At 37.6% G+C, this 19683-nt stretch overlaps 1 protein-coding gene and 2 long non-coding RNA genes across 12 annotated transcripts in view; 1 reads left to right on the top strand and 2 right to left on the bottom strand.

The window, feature by feature from the left end:
* The window catches only part of BCAS3 (BCAS3 microtubule associated cell migration factor), a 714981-nt gene that overhangs the window by 284741 nt on the left and 410557 nt on the right, over window positions 1-19683 (bottom strand). The window lies entirely within an intron of this gene.
* The window catches only part of BCAS3-AS1 (BCAS3 antisense RNA 1), a 101500-nt gene that overhangs the window by 27922 nt on the left and 53895 nt on the right, over window positions 1-19683 (top strand). The gene's annotated exons all lie outside the window — the stretch shown is intronic.
* Window positions 1224-18335, bottom strand: LOC124904041 (uncharacterized). Its single transcript, XR_007065871.1, has 2 exons — window positions 3194-18335; window positions 1224-2154 (listed from the first exon to the last, which is right to left on the bottom strand). It is a non-coding gene; the product is annotated as an uncharacterized LOC124904041 (long non-coding RNA).

Raw genomic sequence — 19683 nt, 5'->3', positions numbered from 1 at the left:
AAAACATATGAAGCAAACCCTGACGGAACTGAAGGAAGAAATAGACATACCTACAGTTATAGCTGGAGACTTCAATAATTCTTTCTCAACAGGTAGATTTCTCATATATTGATGGTAGGATTATAAAATAATACAGACAGTATGGAAAATAGTTTGGAAGTTTCTTGAAAAATTAAACATATCCTTACAATGTGACCCAGCAACTGTGCTTGTGGGCCTTTAGCTCAGTGGAATGAAACTTCTTTTATCTACATGAAAACCTTTACATGATTGTTCAAGGCAGTTTTACTTGAAATAGCCATAACCTGGAAACAGCCAAAATGTTGTATAATAGGTGAATAGTTAACTAAACTGTGCGACATCCATACCATGCAATACTACTCAGCAATTAAAGGGAATAGACTATTGATACATGCAATAACTTGGATGGACCTCAAAGGCATTATAATCCATTTTAAAAACAGGCAATATCAAAGGGTCACATATCGTAAAATTCAATTTCTTAAAAATCTCAAAATGACAAAATTATAGAGATGAATAGATTAGTAGCTGGCAGGGGTCAGAGATGGTGGTGGGATGGGAACTGAGTGGGGCTATAATGGAGCAGGAAGAAATGAGCAAGATATTTGTGGTGACGGAACGGTTTGTATCTTGATGATGGTGGTGGTTACATGAATCTGTGCACATGATAAAATGACACAAAAGTGGCCAGGCACAGTGGCTCACGCCTGTAATCCCAGCACTTTGGGAGGCCGAGGCAGGTGGATCATGAGGTCAGGAGTTCAAGACCAGCCTGGCCAAGATGGTGAAACCCCATCTCTACTAAAAATACAAAAATTAGCCGGGTGTGGTGGTGCACACCTGTAATCCCAGCTACTCAGGAGGCTGAGGCAGAAGAATCACTTGAACCCGGGAGGCAGAGGTTGTAGTGAGCCGAGATCACACCACTTCACTCCAGCCTGGGCGACAGAGCGAGACTCCGTCTCAAAAAAAAAAAAAAAAAAAAAAGTAAGCCTAGTGTTAGCAAAGCAAGACTAAAGGAAGGAAATGAGGAACATCAACCTTAGCTGAATGAATGAATGAAGCACAAATTGATAGAACTTTACTTAGGGCAACCTGGCAATATGTAAACATAAAGTGACTTAAAAATATACGTATTCTGGACCCAGAATTTCCACTTCTGGGAATTTATCCTAAACAAATAATCACAGATAACAACAAAGATTTATATATAGGAATTTATTTATTCTAAATTAGTATGGTAAAAAATTCTAAACGATCTCAAAGTTTAATGATAGAAAATCAGACAAATAAATGATCCAGCCACCATTAAAATATCTATGTCTTCAAAAATATTTAATGACTTGAAGGAAATCTGCTAACAATAAATGAAGCAAGTTTCAAAATATAATTTATTCTACAACTGTCCCCCGCTCCTTATCTATGGGGATACGTTCCAAGACCCCCAGTGGATGCCTGAAACCATGGACAGTACCAACACTATACACCCACGCATTGCTTAACAACAAAGATGTGTTCTGAGAAAGTGTGTTATTAGGTGATTTCATCACTGTGCAAACATCATAGAGTATGCTTGTACAAACCTAGATAGAATAGCCTACAACACACCTAAGCTATATGCTATAACCTCTTTTATTACTCCCAGACAAAAAATCTGTGCAGTATGTTACTGTACCGAATACTGTAGGCAACTGTAACACAATGGTCAGTATTTGTGTATCTAAACATAGAAAAGGTACAGTAAAAATCTGGTATTATAATTTTACTGGAACACTGTTGCACGAGCATATAAGGTCCACTGTTGACTGAAAGGTCACTATGCCATACATGACTGTATATACCATGTTTTTTCCTATATGTACAGACCTATGATACAGTTTAATTTATAAGTTAGGCACAAAGATTAACAACAATAACTGGTAATAAAATAGAACAATTATAACAATATGCCAGCATCAACCCTTGTGCTTTGGGGCCATTAAGTAAAATAAAGGTTACCTGAATACAAGCACTGTAATACTGCAACCAAGACGGCTGCCAAGTGACCAAAGGATAGGTAGCATAGACAGCCTGGAGATGCCAGACAAAGGGATGATTCACGGTCTGGGAGGGATGCTGTAAGATTTCACCAGGCTACTCAGAAAGGCACAAAATTGAACATGTATGAATTGTTTATTTCTGGACAATATTTTAAATAAAACACCAATATGTGACAAATGAATTTAACCAAACATCCCTAGCTGCCTTTCTGTCCCAAAGTGTACCAGTACTAAAGCTCTAACTTTTTTTTTTCCATTTTCTCCCAACACTTAAAGCAAGAGGTATAAGAATTCTGTGGGTTTAGGCCGGGCACAGTGGCTCACACCTGTAATCCCAGCACTTTGGGAGGCCGAGGCAGGTGGATCACCTGAGGTGGGGAGTTCGAGACCAGCCTGACCAACATGGAGAAACCCCATCTATACTAAAAAAAATACAAAATTAGCTGGGCGTGGTGGCACATGCCTGTAACCCCAGCTACTCATGGGGCTGAGGCAGGAGAATCACTTGAATCTAGGAGACAGAGCTTGCTTTGAGCCAAGGTCGCGCCATTGCACTGCAGCCTGGGCAACAAGAGCGAAACTCTGTCTCAAAAAAATAAAAAAAATTCTGTGGGTTTTTCCTCTAGTGTCAGCATAGTAGTCATGGCCTTTCATGGGTCTGCTTTTCTAGCCACATTCCACTTAAGTTTTATTGAAAACCTCACAAATGGAACTAGCTCCTCCTAGGTTTTTCTGTGATCATTTAGTTTAAAGAAATTAAAGGTCTGAGGAAAGCAAAGGCCAGGTTTTGGGGTAAACCACCTGAGTGGAAAACTGGGCTGGTGCAAGGCAGTTTTCCAATGTGCTGTGCCCTGCGGCAGGGTAGTTTTCAATAAATGTAAGTAGAGAATATTTAAATAGCACCCAATTCACTTTTTATTCTCATAAAAAGGGAGGGATGAAAGAGATGGAAATGCAGCTATGGTTCCATAAAAAGCCACAGCTGAGCCAACAGCAGTGAGGAAACCCACGGAGGTTACCTGAAGTATGTATTACACAGCTTGTGATGAGAAAAAGCCTCATGAGTTTTCCTACTCTCAGCTATTCCTAGTTTTATTAAACAACCTGGTACACTAGCAAAAGACACTACTTACTTCTACCAGGAAATCTTTTTTGCAGTGGTTACTTGCAGAACCATCCAACGCTTAGGTTTACTGGGCTTACTTTTAAGAATGTTCTGCTCCAGGGCTGGGCAAAGTTACTCTGCTGAGTAAAATGTAAGATAAAGTTGTAAGCATTTTTTTTATGGAGAGGGCAAATATTTTTCATTTCTTTAAAGCTTTAAGATGATCATCTAAAGTCCTTTAATGAAGCAGAATTGATGGGGTAACGCAGAGGATCTTTCACAGGGTGACATGTAATACCCGATTTGGAGCTCAAGGCGCTGACACGGATCCTAAGTAAATGAGACTGCTATTTGATCCAATAAATGATGAAGTATGAGATGAAGTGCAGATCTGAAAGGCATATATCTCAATCCCCAAAGGTTGCCTCAAATAGTAATTACTGATGTTCCAAGGCATTTGCCCTATGTGCCACAGTGAAACAAACACTTTAAAGCCATCCTGTGGTATTTCCTTACTTTAATTTCAATAAAAAATTTTCTTTATTCAGTTATACAAGATGAAAAAGTTATATGAAAAACTTTTTTTAAAAAGTTTTTAAAAAATAAAAGCAGAAAAATATGTCTTAGCTACTCCTTGGTCAAGGTCTCGCCTCCTAAAAGACTGGAATAAAACTCTCAGCATCTTTGCTGACATGAGTCTGTGGGTGGGGAGGTGGAATGGGAGAGAGGACATCAAGCCCACCCAACTCCTGGAATTTTTACAGAAAAGACAAAACTTTCCAAGTGAAATAGTCATTTTGGTAAATGAAACCATTTGTAACTTTAGAAAAGTTTTTTCTTTTATTCCAACGTATCATAAGAAAAATCCACACTGTGCTTCTAATAGGCTATAAAGCTTTGGTTTAAAGATGGGTCAACAAGAGCTAAAACCACTAATGTCATACTTGGAGAAGCAAGAGTGGAGAATAGTGACATCCCAACACTTCCAGGATCCCAATGAAAAGTCTCACCCAGGCGAAAGACTATCTGCCAAATTTATGCCAAGAACAAAGTTTTATAGCCAAGTTAAAATCTTTTGTGTATTTAGGGACTGTTATAAAAATAGTAACATTTTCTGCATCCTTGAGAGAGCCTTTTCCTTATAGAGATGAAACAGGATTATCAAAATAGGAAGATAGTTGCTGTGAGGGAGCAATAGAAACAGGACAAACTGAAACAGAGACAGAAAAAAGAACATGAAAGACAAAGACAGAGTAAGATGGAGTGAAAAACACACATAAACAGTCTGACATGCTCAGGAGAGTGATCTGTTCCTCTGCAAACCAAATAGCTTCATTTCTTTGCCTTTTTAGGCTGAGTAAAATGTATTTGCATGTAAAAACAAATATAACTAAAGTTAAATCCATTTGGGCAGCAGTATTTTGAGGTTCTTTTTTAAGAAGAGGAGACTTAGGGAGTTAATTTCATTCCTTAGTCCCCACCAAAAACCTCCATGAACTGGTTAATTTCAGGTCAGTAGGAGTTCCTGGAGTTAGAGTAAAAATGTCAACATATTCCTTACTAAAGCCACAGTGATGAATACTTTTCCCTTAAACGATTCTCAGAGCTGCCTCAGACTACTGCAAATGTATCCAAATGACAGAGGATCACAGATTTTAGAATCAGAAGGGTGTTTGAGCATTTAATATACAAATTTATTACAAGAGTAATAAGGAGATACACTGTTATACCAGCATAATCTAAGAAGGGAAGAACTGAATGGTAGGGATGCGGGTACAAGAGAATAATTTCTGGGATTTAGATTCTTGTCTGAAATATCAGAATATAATCTGTTATTGGAATATATCTTCATACCAAAGCACATTATAGCTAAAAACACAGGCTCTGGAATCAGACTGCTATAGGGATTCAACCAGGAATCTACAACATTTCAGTCTGTTTTCTCAACTGTAAAATGGGGACAATAGTATAACCTATCTTCTTAGGATGCTCATAATACATTATGATACACGTGAAGAGCAAAACTAAAACTTTGGGACAGACAGAAAGGAAATATTTTACGGAAAGAAGGTAAGGTGGTGACAACTGACATTTAATGAGTCCTTGTTATGTACCTGAACTATGGCCAGAAGATTTTTATTATCTATTAATTTTTACAACATCAGAGACAGATGTTCCTATACTCTTCTTATGGACAAAGAAACTCAAGGTCATGTACCCAGTCAGCTACAGAAATGGGAATGAAATCTACACCTAACCACAAAGCTCATGCACTTGCATTACACACGTCTATTCAAAAAATTTATCAAAAATGGACTTTAACAACAAGCTATGTAAAACATGTTCATGACAAAAAAATTCAGATGACACTGCCAAAGTTGGGAGGTAGTATACAGTACTTAATTTCTCTAAATCACACCTTCTTCTGAAAAAAATGGAAATTGTAACAGTGCTTTTACCTCATAATATTTTGTGAATACAGGTGATAATGCACGTGAAATGCTTAGCATAGTGTATTCAGTAACCAAATGTTACCTAAAACCACTGATAGTTCATTATATATCATTTAATATGCATACAGGAGAGAAACTCTATGAGCTGCATATAATTCAAGATTTAAAAACAGATGTTAAGAATCCTATTTAACTTTTAATTCCATAATTTTTCAAGAATAAACCTCTCCAAATAGGTTTCTTTCATGAAAACAGATGCATACAATTCAAAATTATATCAGCTTACGTTAATTTTCATGATCACAACCTCAAAATAATTTTGTCTCAGCTAAGGACATCTACTAATTTGCATATAGCTATTTTTGTGAATGTTAATAGTATTGCATTCAGGAGGTTCCTTAGTAATTCCTTATTTTTATTCTTGAGACCATATATGCTAAAGTAAACTACAGTGAAAATTACACCATCCATAGAAGGAACTGATAAAGGTATCATCCCACAGCCTTTCAATTTATTAGTATTTTTATCATATCAACTAACTAGAAGGCAAAACCTAGTCACCGTTTTGCAGATGGATAAACAGAGGCCAAAAATGGGCCAGTTAAAGGTACTGCAGTCCCCATGCATTAATGGGTATACTTTCATATCTGCACTTCCTTAAATTTATTAAAAAGCCAAATATTATTCTGAAATCAAGGTAGGGAGGTAATTCTGAATACATCACACAAAACAAACCAGAATTTTAAAATGTGAAAACACAAGTCAAGAGGATGAGAGCTGAACAACTCTTAAAAGTTTGAAAGTGGCTAAGAGCTCTTAGATCTTTATAGTAATAAATATTGTAGTGTACAATGGTCCATTGGGAATCCTCACTCATATGTTATTCCATGATTGAAGATCAAGGTGTCAGGTCCATTTAGAATCAGTGTATTTTGGGTATGTTTTAAGCTTTAATCCATATTTTGAAAAAATAGTTAACAATATTTCTAAGGGAAATATAATCACTTTGCTTGCCTTGCACTCCCCCACTCCCCACTATAGAGTGAATTGTGAGTTTCAAACACTGGTATTCCTTTAGTTTGAATTTTCCCATAAGTAGACGGAAAGGTAATGACCTTGGCCTATCACGATTCTTAAGTGGAAAGCCTTTTTCAGCTTAAGAAACCACTACCTGATTGAGAGTGGCTTTCCTAGCTGAAAATAACTGTTTACTGCTTAAAGGATAAGTATCTGTGAGATGCAGGTATAGTTAGGTGAGTCTTGAATATAACATTCTTCCATCATCAAAATCTCATCGGAGAGGTTTTGCCAATGGTCTTTTAAAATAGAGGTGCCATTCCAGAGTGGAGGTGATGTATTTTGTGTCCTCTATGATACAACAGTATATGATAAAAAGAATAAATATAAATAGTTCTTAGGTCACATACATGCCCTGATGATTATATGAATGAAATCAAGGTTGGCTGAGATGCTGTTCAAGGTCCGGGAAAAAATGAAGGTTTCACAGATTCACACCTTTGCTCTACCATCTACTAGCTCTGTGACAGTAGACAAGTTATTTAAATCTCTTAACCTCAGCATCTTCAACTGTTGAAAACAAAAAATCTAAAAAGTATGTTGTTAAAAACAGAGTTTAATTTATGTTTGCATGGATAATGCAGGGCCGTGTTGTAAAGGACTCTAGTGGAAAGATGGTCTCCTTGTCACTTCTGCTCCCTAGCCACACAGTTTCTCTTTGAGGAGGTAATTACTGTTCCAGGCAAATGCAAGAACTTGGTTTCAATGTTCCATGATGAAATATTGAATTCATTAACATTTGCTGAGTGCCTATTATGTGTCAAAACCATTCAGGGAGCTACGGGGAGTACAAAGATGAGCTCATAGTCTAGAATGAAAAACAATACCCAACTAATTTTAATATCAGATGGTACACATAACAGTAAAAGTTTAAGAACACATGAGAAAGTAATTAATTTAATCAAGGGGGTGAGTTGGAATAAAGAGAAAGATTAAGAACATGTTTCAAGAGAAATGAAAAGTGTCAGGCACCATAGTAAGTTCTCTCTGGCTTAAGCCGTCTGATTCAGGAACTGGGTCCCTCTCATGGCTATAAAAACTCTAATTTGAGGTACTGACTCATGGCTATGAATTTCTAACATAGGAAAAGGAAAAGGTAGCCCAAATAGAAGATCATAGGGTTCGCTATTTCCTCTTTAGGTAGAGAGAAACAGAAGAGTAAATGGGTTCTGTTCCCAGTCTTACAAGCATTCATTTGAGAACTACATAAACTCATCTAAAGAAGGGATAACTGACTGGGGAGTTCAACTAAGTGTCAAGTGTAACTTAGTGTTCTCTACAGTCTTAACATTGAACATTTATATAATAACTGTTGCCTTTCCAAATATTGTAGAACACCAAAGTAAAATAGGTTTAAGACTCAAGACGCCACTTCATACAACAGAAGTCAATTCTACCATGTTTCTTGTAGCTGTCTAGAGCATAAGTACAAGTAACTAAACTGTAATGACACCACTAAAATTTTGGAAATTCTTCAACAAAATGTTTTGGCTTAATGGAACTTAGGGTCAGTTCTCCATATGCCAATGTCCTATGCCCAAAATGGGCTAGCTTCAAAGGCAGCCCAAAATATCCCTAAAATTATGTCTGAAAGTTAGCCTAGTAAGAGCAGAAAGCAAAAGCCTGTCCATTCTTTTCAACAGATGTTTACCAGTCCTGACCATAGATTCCAGAAAGCAAGACTTCGCTAGAGTTAATGCTTTATAAAGATAACCTTAAAACAAAAATTTCCATGCTAAGCCTAATAGAACGAAAGCTTGTATCAAAGAAATATTCTGTTTAAACATAATGCTGCTTTAAAAGCATAACATAAAAGATAATTTGAAATGCTTTGTAAAATATTTCACTTGATTACACAATTGACCATAGGCCCATACAAAGGAATAGTGATCATAACATAAGGGCAAACCTAACTGAGGACCAGGTTTAAGTCAGGTAACGAAGATAAAGACTCAGCATTACCAACTTGTAATCATGTTATGATATTTAAAGCCTTATGTTTTATAAGAAATCAACAATGGTTATCATTGTTGATTATCACTGACTATCATTATTAATCATCACTGACTATCATTATTAATCAGATATCAAGAAATATTGATTATCTGCTCTGTGGAAGGTACCAATACCAGGCAAAGGGAGATACAAAGACAGCCCTTGTTCTCAAACAGTCCTTTATTATAAGCCATCATTTTTCCCCCTCTGTTCTAAGCATGCTACATATAAGGTAATCCAATAATAATGCCATCCAGGAGTATCTTTTATTTTTTTTGAGACAGAGTCTCACTCTGTCACCCAGGCTGGAGTGCAATGGTGCGATCTCAGCTCACTGTGAGCTCCGCCTCCCAGGTTCATGACATTCTCCTGCCTCAGCCTCCTGAGTAGCTGGGACTACAGGTGTGCGCCACCATGCCCGGCTAATTTTTCGTATTTTTAGTAGAGATGGGGTTTCACCGTGTTAGCCAGGATGATCTCGATCTCCTGACCTGGTGATCACCTGCCTCGGCCTCCCAAAGTGCTGGTATTACAGGTGTGAGCCACCACACCCAGCCCATCCAGGGGTATCTTAAGCCAAGCAGTAACAGAACAATCAGGATCCACACCTACTGTTAAGGTGTTTCATGCTTCCACTTTTACCGTTTTCATTTGGCAAAGAAATCCTGATCACAACAACGTAAAAACATTTAGAGACTTAAGAATTGCTATCAGTATCATCTCCTTCTACTCACTCTTGTCCATGGATCATGGATGCCATAAAATCTGCTAACCGAATTCCTTTTTGCAGCATACCACTTAATTGCAGGAAAAGCTCAAACTCAAATGTGTTATTATTTAAAGCCAAGCCTCACTTCAAATTGAGGTATTTGGGTTTAGAAAAATTCCTCCCCAGAATTCTACTCTGGTATTAGAAAAATCACAATTACAAGCCACAGAATATTAAAGTCACAACTTTGGCAAAATATCAGGATCACTTCAGAGGTAAGATTAGAACTTCAGCACCCAAAACCAAAAATACAATGTTCTAATCCTATAATATCACTCTCTTCTGTGATTATGAAGGCCTCTTAAATACTAAGAACAGAAAGGGGGACAAAGACTCTATTTTTCTCCTCTCCATGCACAACTCAGTCCCAATGTTCTGAATATATGAATATTCTGTAACAACAAGCTACCTTCAAAATGTCCAAGTAATTACAGGTTCAGGTCAAGAACTCTAGACCATATTGATTACCTCTCTATGCAAGAAGGACCCTCCAGCACCATTTATATCCATGATAACAGAGACAGCTTTTAAGGATCTGTGACATTAAGAATTTTCAGTCATATCAATGCCAGGAATGGAAAGCCAATGACCAGTCAGGCCTGTCAGTTGTTGCCTAAAGCAATAAGGACAAGCTGGGAATTCATCACACTGGAACTTCATCTGCCAGCTGCATTCACACATTTTCACCACCTGAATAGTTGATTCTCTTCAACTCCCACGTGGCTCATTTCAGCATACAGTGTTTTGAAATGAATATTTGATTAGGCAGGGTAGAAAGAGGTTTAGACTTATCTGAGGTGTCACCATAATGCACTTTAAGTAATTTTAAGTATCAGGAGCTAGGTGTCCTAAGTCCTGTTCTTTGACTATTGCTAAAATGGACCTTGATCCTAATTAAAGAAGATTAAATGAGATGAGACATGTGGCAAGACCTAGCACAGTGTTGGGCACCTAACTGTTTATAAATTAATACTGGTTTCCCATCTCTTTTACTTCTGTCTATTGAAAAATATCCTGAAGATTCCTCATAGAGCCTCTTGATTATTCAGACATGGGGATCTCACACTGCCAAGGAAACTTAAAAATCACCCTGCTACTTTTCCAATTTCTCTTTTTATCAAAAGTCCAAACCATCACTTAAATATAAACCTAAGAAATAAAGAGGCTGGTCACAGTGGCTAATCCCAGCACTTTGGGAGGCCGAGGCAGGCGGATCACAAGGTCAGGAGATCGAGACCATCCTGGCTAACATGGTGAAATCCCGTCTCTATTAAAAATACAAAAAATTAGCCAGGCGTGGTGGCGGGCGCCTGTAGTCCCAGCTACTCGGGAGGCTGAGGCAAGAGAATGGCATGAACCCGGGAGGTGGAGCTTGCAGTGAGCCGAGATTGCGCCACTGCACTCCAGCCTGGGTGACAGAGCGAGACTCAGTCTCAAAAAAGAAAAAAGAAAAAAACAAATAAAGAAACAGAGTAGGCTTCTTAAAATTCCTTCCTTATGTTTAGATCTGAACAGTTTGATTATAATATGTCTACGTATGGTTTTCTTTGTGTTTATTAATATCTCACTCAGCATACACTGAGTTTCTTAAAACTTTGACTTATGTCTTTCATTAACTTTGGAAAATTCTCAACCCTTCATGCATTTCTTTTGCCATATCCTCTTCTTTTCTTCCACATATGTGAAATAATTACACAGATGTTAGACAGTTTGATACTGCTATAGTTTGATATACCGCTCACAGTGAGTTCTATTTTATTTCAGTATTTTTCTCTCTCTGCTTCAGTTTTGATAAATTTTTGCTTATTGTCATTATACTTCATAGTGAAATAATAAACCCTTCCTCCTAGGGTTGAGAAGAAAACAAGAATATTCAATATCATCATTTCTATTCAACATCGTAGTGGAGGTTTAAACAAGTGTAATATGGGAGAAAGATAAAGATTAAAAAGAAATAAAACCATCTTTATTTGCAGATGACATGATTACATAGTAGAAAATCCAAGAGATTCTACTATTAGAATGAATAAACGAATTTGGAAAAGTTGCTGGAAACAAGTTCATTTTTTGTTTTGAGACAGGGTTTCCCCTCTGTCACCCAGGCTAGAGTGCAGTGATGCAGCCTTGGCTCACTGTAGCCTCAACCTCCTGGGCTCAAGCAATCCTCCCACCTCAGCCTCCCAGGTAGCTAAGACTACAGGTGCATACCACCATACTCAGCTAATTTAAAAATTTTTTTTTTTGTAGAGACGAGGTCTGACTATATTGCCCAGGCTGGGATACAAGTTTATTATACAGAAAAGTATTTTACTCTATATGCTGTAAAGAAAACTGACAAGTGAAATAAAAACGTGCTATAGTTATCATCAAAATGTAATAATAGAAAGAAAAAACTTTTATATAAGATGTGTAAGACTTCTACATTGAAACTTATCAAGGAGAAATTAAAGAAGGCTTAAATAAGTGAATAGTTATAAAAGTTTATGTTTTGCCTGTAATCTCAGCTACTCAGAGGCTGAGGCACAAGAATCGCTTGAACCCTGGAGGTGGAGGTTGCAGTGAACCGATATCACACCACTGCACTCCAGCCTGGACAACAGAGTAAGACTCCATCTCAAAAAATTAAAAAAGCTTGTTTTGAAAGATTTAGTATTTTTAAGATGTCAATACTTCCAAATTTGATATACAGATTCAATGAAATCCCAATCCAATCTCATCTGAATTTCTGTAGAAATAAACAAACAAACTAGTAATTTAATGTGTGTGTGTGTGTGTGTGTGTGTGTGTACGAGAATATGCATACCAGTGGTTTTCAAACATTTTAAAATTCAGGATCCCAGTGTGCTTAAAAAAACTCAGGACCCCAGTCAGGTGCGGTGGCTAATACCTGTAATCCCAGCACTTTGGGAAGCCAAGGTGGGCAGATCACTTGAGCTCAGAAGTTCAAGACCAGCCTGGCCAACATGGTGAAACCTTGTCTCTACTAAAAATACAAAAATTAGCCGGGCATGGTGGTGCATGCCTGGAGTCCCAGCTACTCGGGAGGCTGAGGCAGGAGAAGCACTTGAACCTGGAGGCAGAGGTTGCAATGAACCGAGATTGCACCACCACACTCCAACCTGGATGACAAAGTGAGGTTGTCTCAAAAAAACAAACAAACGACAACAACAACAAAAAACCCAGGACCCCAAAGATCTTTGGTTTATATGTACTATATCTATCAACATTTAATACAATTATGTATCAGCTAATTTAAAAACAATGATAAAGCCTCTATGTAGAAATATCAATTACATTCTATATAAAAATATTTTCTAAACAGAAAGAAGTGAGAAAAGTAACATTTTTAAGAGAAAATCCTCTAATAGACAACAGCTAGATTCTCATATCTGCTATTGCATTCTATCTGTTCTGATATGCTGTTTTGGTTGACGTACACGAAGAAAAGTTGGTCTAACTCAAATACGTAACTGCTAAAAGATAAAGTATATTAATAGCATTTTCAGGTTCTGGGGATATTCTTCCTTGATATGATCCTTAACAAATTAGTTGCAATGTGGAATCTGAAACTATATCAATTAACTTTCATATTCTATTACATTAAAATCCTTTGTCCTATCTTGCATTTGGAATGAGTCCTTTACTCTTGCATGATTTTGTAGCAACATGAAACTGGTCATTCGGAAAATGTTGCAGATGTTCCAAATGCTGATATATTTTAATATCTATTATGCAAAAAATCATATTAGTTAATATCACTACTTATTTAATGAGAAATTTTTTTTTTAAGACAGAGTTTCACTCTTGTTGCCCAGGCTGGAGTGCAATGGCACGATCTTGGCTCACTGCAACCTCTGCCTCCCGGGTTCAAGCGATTCTCCTGCCTTAGCCTCCCAAGTAGCTGGGCTTACAAGCATGCACCACCACACCCAGCTAATTTTTTGTATTTAGTAGAGACAGGGTTTCACCATGTTGGTCAGGCTGGTCTTGAACTAACCTCAGGTGATCCACCCGCCTTGGCCTCCCAAAGTACTGGGATTATACGCGTGTGCCATCGTGTCCGGCCGAGAAATGTCTTTAAATATTGGGACTCTGTTAAACAGACAGTGGTGGATACAAGGTTTTCAAATTTCTAATTTTCAATTGAAAGCTAGAATGTTATTATTGGTAATAAATATTGTTAGTTGTTTTCTTCGAAGTGACAGGGTTTGCTTATTTTTGAGAAAATTTCTGCCAAATGCCCATGTCTGAATAAACATAGTTTGTTTTATTCAGATAAAATGGGATTCCATGAAAACAGTTGCTAGTTCAGTTTACAAATCACAATGGCTTTCCCTCAAGACAACTACTGTGCATTCATTCCCACTTGATATACAGAATATTAAGATGTTACACAAGGATCAAAACTTAATAAAATTAAAGTTGATGATTTTTACTGCTTTAAAGATATTCTTAGGTGAATACAGCTTAAAAAAGAACTCTTAAGTAGGTAGCAGAGGCTACTAGCAATAGTTAGGTGCCATTGCCTTTACTATGATAACAGGCCACCAGTTTTACCCACAATTGCTTCTGCACCATCTATACTAAATTTCACCACAGTAGAAAAAACAAAGGCAAATAATAACTTGATACTAGTATAAAAATAATTTTGACTTAATAGACCACTTGAAAGTGTCTTGGGAATTCCCAGAGTTTGAAAAACCACTGGTATGTTCGTACAAATGCACATGTGTGGAAATGCAAAGGCCCCAGAATAGCCAAGATAACCAGAATGAAAAACAAAGGTGGAGGCCTTAAAATATGAGACTTCAAAACTTACTAAACATCTACAGTAATTAAGGTAGTACAATGTGGGTAAAAAGACAGCTATATAAATCAATGTAACAGAATAAAGAACCCAAGAAAAAATAAAAATTTTAAAAAGGCATCAGTGCAATTCATAATAGGAAAGGCGTATCTTTTTGATAAACAATGTGGGAGCAACCGGAAGAAACTAAACACCTTGATCCCTGCCCTACATCAAAATAAAATTTTTTTTTGTTTGTTAAACAAGGTCTTGCTCTGCCACCTAGGCTAGAGTGCAGTGGCGTGATCACAGCTCACTGCAGCCTCAACCTCCCAGGCTTAAGTGATCCTCCCATCTCAGCCTCCTAAGTAGCTGGGACAACAGTTGTGCACCACCATGCCTGGCTAATTTTTGTACTTTTTGTACAGACAGAGTTTTGCTGTGTTGCCCAGGCTGGTCTCAAACTCCTAAGCTCATGCAATCTGCCCACTTGGGCCTCCCAAGGTGGGATTATAGGCATAAGCCACCACACTTGACCACCCACAATAAAAAATTAATTTGAAAAGGATCATAGTCCTAAATGTGAAGGCTTAAACTATACAATTTCTAGAAAAGAGTTATCTCTTCAAGACTGGAGGGGCTGGGCATGGTGGCTTATACTTGTAATCCCAGCACTTTGGGAGGCCGAGGCAGGCAGATCACCTGAGGTCAGGAGCTCGAGACCAGCCTGGCCAACATGATGAAACCTCATCTCTACTAAAAATACAAAAAATTAGCTGGGCGTGGTAGTGGGCACCTGTAGTCCCAGCTACTTGGGAGGCTGAGGCAGGATAATCACTTTGAACCTGGGAGACGGAAGTTGCAGTGAGCCGAGATCATGCCACTGCACTCCAGCCTCAGTGACAGACTGAGACTCTGTCTCAAAAAAAAAAAAAAAAAAAAAAAAGACTGGACAAAAGATTTTTTTTGTTTGTGAAAACATAAAAGGAAAAAACAATGAAAAAATTAGATTTTTGCTTGTCAAAAGATACCATTAAGAAAGTGAAAACGCAATTAACTGAAAGAAAATATTTGCAATGCACATATCTCACAAAAGGACCATATCCAGAATATTTAAAGAACACTTGGTATTCAATAAAGACAACATATCTAATAAAAATCAGTGAGTTAACTAGGACATTACAAAAGATGATATCCAAATGGCCAATGAGTATATTAAAGATGCTCAATACCATTACTCAACAGAGAAAAGCAAATTCAAACCATAGTTCACATCCACTGGAATGGTTAAAATAAAGATCAATAATATCAAGTGTTGATGAGAATGTGGAGCAACTGGAACGCTCATGCATTGCTGATAGGAATGCAAAATGGTACAGTCATTTTGGAAAACGTGTTGGCAGTTCCTAATAAAGTTAAACATATGCCTACTTTGTGATCCGGCAATTCCAGTACTAGGGATATGCCCAAAGGAAATGTATGCATATGTTGACGAGAGACAGAGAGAGAGAGAGAGACAGACAGACAGACTTATAAAAAAATGTTTATAGCAGCTTTATTCCTAATAGCCAAAAGCTGGAAATGACAGAATATTGGATATATAAAGTGTGGTATATTTGAAGAATGGAACACTACACTGCAATATTAAAAATGAACTAGTGATTCATGTAATACCTGGATGAATCTCAAACAAATTAAGTTGAGCAAAAGAGGTTAGATACAAAAGCACAGACACAAGATGATTCCAATCATATGAAGTTTAATACAGGTAAAGGTAATCTGTGATGATAAAAATGGTTACCTCTAGGTCACTGGTAGTATTAACTGGAAGGGGCATAAGAAACTTTCTGGGTTGACGGAAATATTCTATGTTTTTATGTGAGTGGTGGCTGAGTATAAAAATTCATCAAGCTGTATGATTAAAACATGCATTTTTGCTATACCCAAATTATACCCTAATTTTAAAAACATCTTCAGAGGTGCTTGAAAACACAGGTTCATCCATGTTTCAAGCTGAAAGGGACTCCGCTGAGACTAGAACTAACAAAGATCCACAAATTAGTGGTCATTATTCTTTCCTTAACACCAAGCTTCCAGAACAAGACTTTTCTCTGGAACAACTATTTTCATTTTGATTATTTACTTTAGCCTTTCTGTGACAGTTCTCAACAATATCCAGAGGGAATATCAGAAGCTCTGGTTCTGACTAGTTGACCAAGTGGGGTCCCAAGCTGTTCTTTAATTGCCCACTGGGCTTACTATTCAATGGAGAGGGGCTCTTTGTTTGTTTCTAAGTTTATAGATGGCACCTATAAGCATAAGCCTCTCAGGCTCTTGCAGACAGTTTAAAATAGTGTTGCACTAACAGTTTTGACACTCATGTCACTAAGACAAATGGAATTCCCGGTTCAGACTTAAACAAATTCTAATAGTGCCCCCAACTCTGTCCCCCTGCCACCATAGTGTGATGCAACAGACTACATAAACAGTCCAGCCCTGTATGAGAGGCACAGTAAATGTACAAAAGTGAAAAGTTGGGTCTTTGGTCAAAAAGTCCCATGTAAATATGTGGAACCCTACTATATCAACAGTGAGAAGTATTGCATCAATTCCCTCTCAAAATGCTTAGGAAAGATTTAAAGCCATGTCAAGGACCTGATGCTTGCAATATAGAAAGCATAGGCAAGGTTTTAGTTGACACAAAGATTTATTCAAAGAAGCAATGTGTCATCAGAAGACACTTTCCCAATAGCTTCTTCTACTTTTGTTTACTGTTTCTTCATCTTCAAATGGGGCTATCATTTTTTCTTAATTGTGCTGAACTAAAATTTTCCTCATTGTTAACTTGACTTTGGTCTTCTAACATCCTATAAATACTAGAAAGAAGAAAGGGCCAGGCACGGTGGCTCACGCCTGTAATCCCAGCACTTTGGGAGGCCGAGGCATGTGGATCGCGAGGTCAGGAGTCTGAGACCAGCCTGACCAACATGGTGACACCCCATCTCTACTAAAATACAAAAGTTAGCTGGGCATGGTGGCACATGCCTGTAATCCCAGCTACTCGGGAGGCTGAGGCAGGAGAATCGCTTGAACCCGAGAGGCAGAGGTTGCAGTGAGCCAAGATCACGCCACTGCACTCCAGCCTGGGCAACACAGTGAGACTCCATCTCAAAAAAAAGAAAGAAAGAAAGAAAGAAGAATAAGAGGAATGTTTAAATCAGAAGAGGAGAGATACAGCTGAGCATTTTCCTTATGGGCAAATAAGGTCTTTTCCCTATGTTCTTAATCTCTAAAACTTACTTTTGATTTTATATAGACAGCAGATAGTCGAAAGATTAGAATTAATTTAATGTATACACTTACTCATTTCTAATATAAAAGCCAATCTTAATATTTGAGTTTGAATATTTTTTCCCCTCTGAGGGATTGTTCACAGGTCAGGGCTGAGCCTTCTTTTAATTTCACTCTTATCCTTAATCTTCTTACTGATCCCACACAAGCTTTCAGTACCCAAGGTATATGCCCTGGAGTTTTTGTCACTTTATAATCATCAAGAATATCTGAAACTCTATTAATTGAAAATCACATCATTTATTCAAAAAATATCTTAATATTTCTGAAGAACTTTATATTCAGGAGTTACTTAAGGAAATAATTTGAACACACCCCTTCCACAAAAGGTGGTAAAAAAAGTTTTGCATAGGGACTCTTAATCTTCTTTTACTGATGTAGAAGTGAATGGCATGGTAGGAGAATGACTTGAAGGTTTCAGCAAAAGTTCAAGACCATGATTATGAAGTCATGGCTTTTTCCACTCAGTTCTAGCTCTAAGACCATGGAGCTATGTGGCCACATCATTGTAGACTGAACAATGTCTCTCACTAATCTCTTTATTTTTACCATCAGCATCTCTATGCCTCTGACAGCCTTTAAGAAATAGTACCTAAGTAGGCCTCAGATTGAAATGGCAACTGTCAATACAGTGAAATATAATCTTAGAATACTCTTCCCCCAGGTTGGGCGCGGTGGTTCATGCCTGTAATCCCAGCACTTTGGGAGGCCGAGGTGGGTGGATCACCTGAGGTCAGAAGTTCGAGACTAGCCTAGCCAACATGGTGAAACCCCGACTCTACTAAAAATACAAAAAATTAGCCGGGCGTGGTGGCGCGTGCCTGTTAATTCCAGCTACTTGGGAGGCTGAGGCAGGAGAATGGCTTGAACCCAGGAGGCGGAGGTTGCAGTGAGCTGAGATCGTGCCATTGCACTCCAGCCTGGGTGACACAGCGAGACTCCGTCTCAAAAAAAAAAAAAAAAAAAAAAAAAAAAAAAAAAAAAAGAGTGAAACTCCGTCTCGAAGAAAAAAAAAAAAAGAATACTCTTCCCCCAGTCCATGAACAAAATCTCTATATGATAAAAGAATGCCTCTATAAGAAGGTCCTTCCAGCACAGATTTGACTGCAAGACAAAACAAAAACTGCTCAAATAACCTCCTTGTCACCTATCTAATCACACTTCTCTATTAATGAGTATTATTTGTTTTTTTAAGGTGATATACCAAATGCCAAATACATAAAGTAGGCATAAATGATCATTATAAAATCAATCAAATCAAACTAGTTTGGGATTTTAAGTGTGTAATTTTCTTCAGTAAACAGTATTTGATAGTGGAGAAAATTAGGTGCTCAAAAGGTATCTCCTAAATTAATTATTTTTATTACTTCAATTGTACAACAAAAGTAGTATTTCTCTTGAGTCAAGAACAACAAAAAACCCCAAGTCTGCAACTTTGTCCCTATTTACTGAAATGCTTGATGTAACACTAATACCTTATGATCCAAGGCTGCTCAGGATAAGAAGTCATTTTTCTTATCTGTCACATTGTCCTTCTCACACTACCATCTTCCTCAGGCATGTACACAAACACTGCTTCCACCACACTTCCTCAGGCATGTACACAAACACTGCTTCCACCACACCTCATAACTTTATAAAATGTTTTCTTTAATAGAGTTTGATAAAGATGTCTGCTCTGCATATGAGTCACGCATAAGTTTGTCTTTCGATCTCAATTATCTGAGTTCTTTGTTAGTAAACATCCATCTCCATAGTAAAACCACAAATCAGGACAAACAAACTCAGGGGTGAACCAGATCTTTCTAGGCTCTTTGATTTGATGACTCAGAAGCAAGGAAAGGTTATCTATTAGGTATAGCCTTCAAGTTTTGGAACAAGAATAGTCAGCAATCTGGAAAACAAAGTTCCAACAAGACATTGACAGCTGTCTTTCTGCTTTCTCTTTAGAGGTCCTACATCTTTATCAAAAGAAGGGCACAGGTTATAAGGTACAAAGAATAGAAAGAAATTCTTAGCTATCTAGCCAAAATGAACATACAGGAAAATGAATAAATTGATGCAGTGCTTTGGCTAGAAATACTATC

This window comes from Homo sapiens, chromosome 17 (assembly GCF_000001405.40).
Source record: "Homo sapiens chromosome 17, GRCh38.p14 Primary Assembly".
NCBI classification, from domain to species: domain Eukaryota; kingdom Metazoa; phylum Chordata; class Mammalia; order Primates; family Hominidae; genus Homo; species Homo sapiens.
This window is presented reverse-complemented; position numbering and strand designations above follow the sequence as displayed.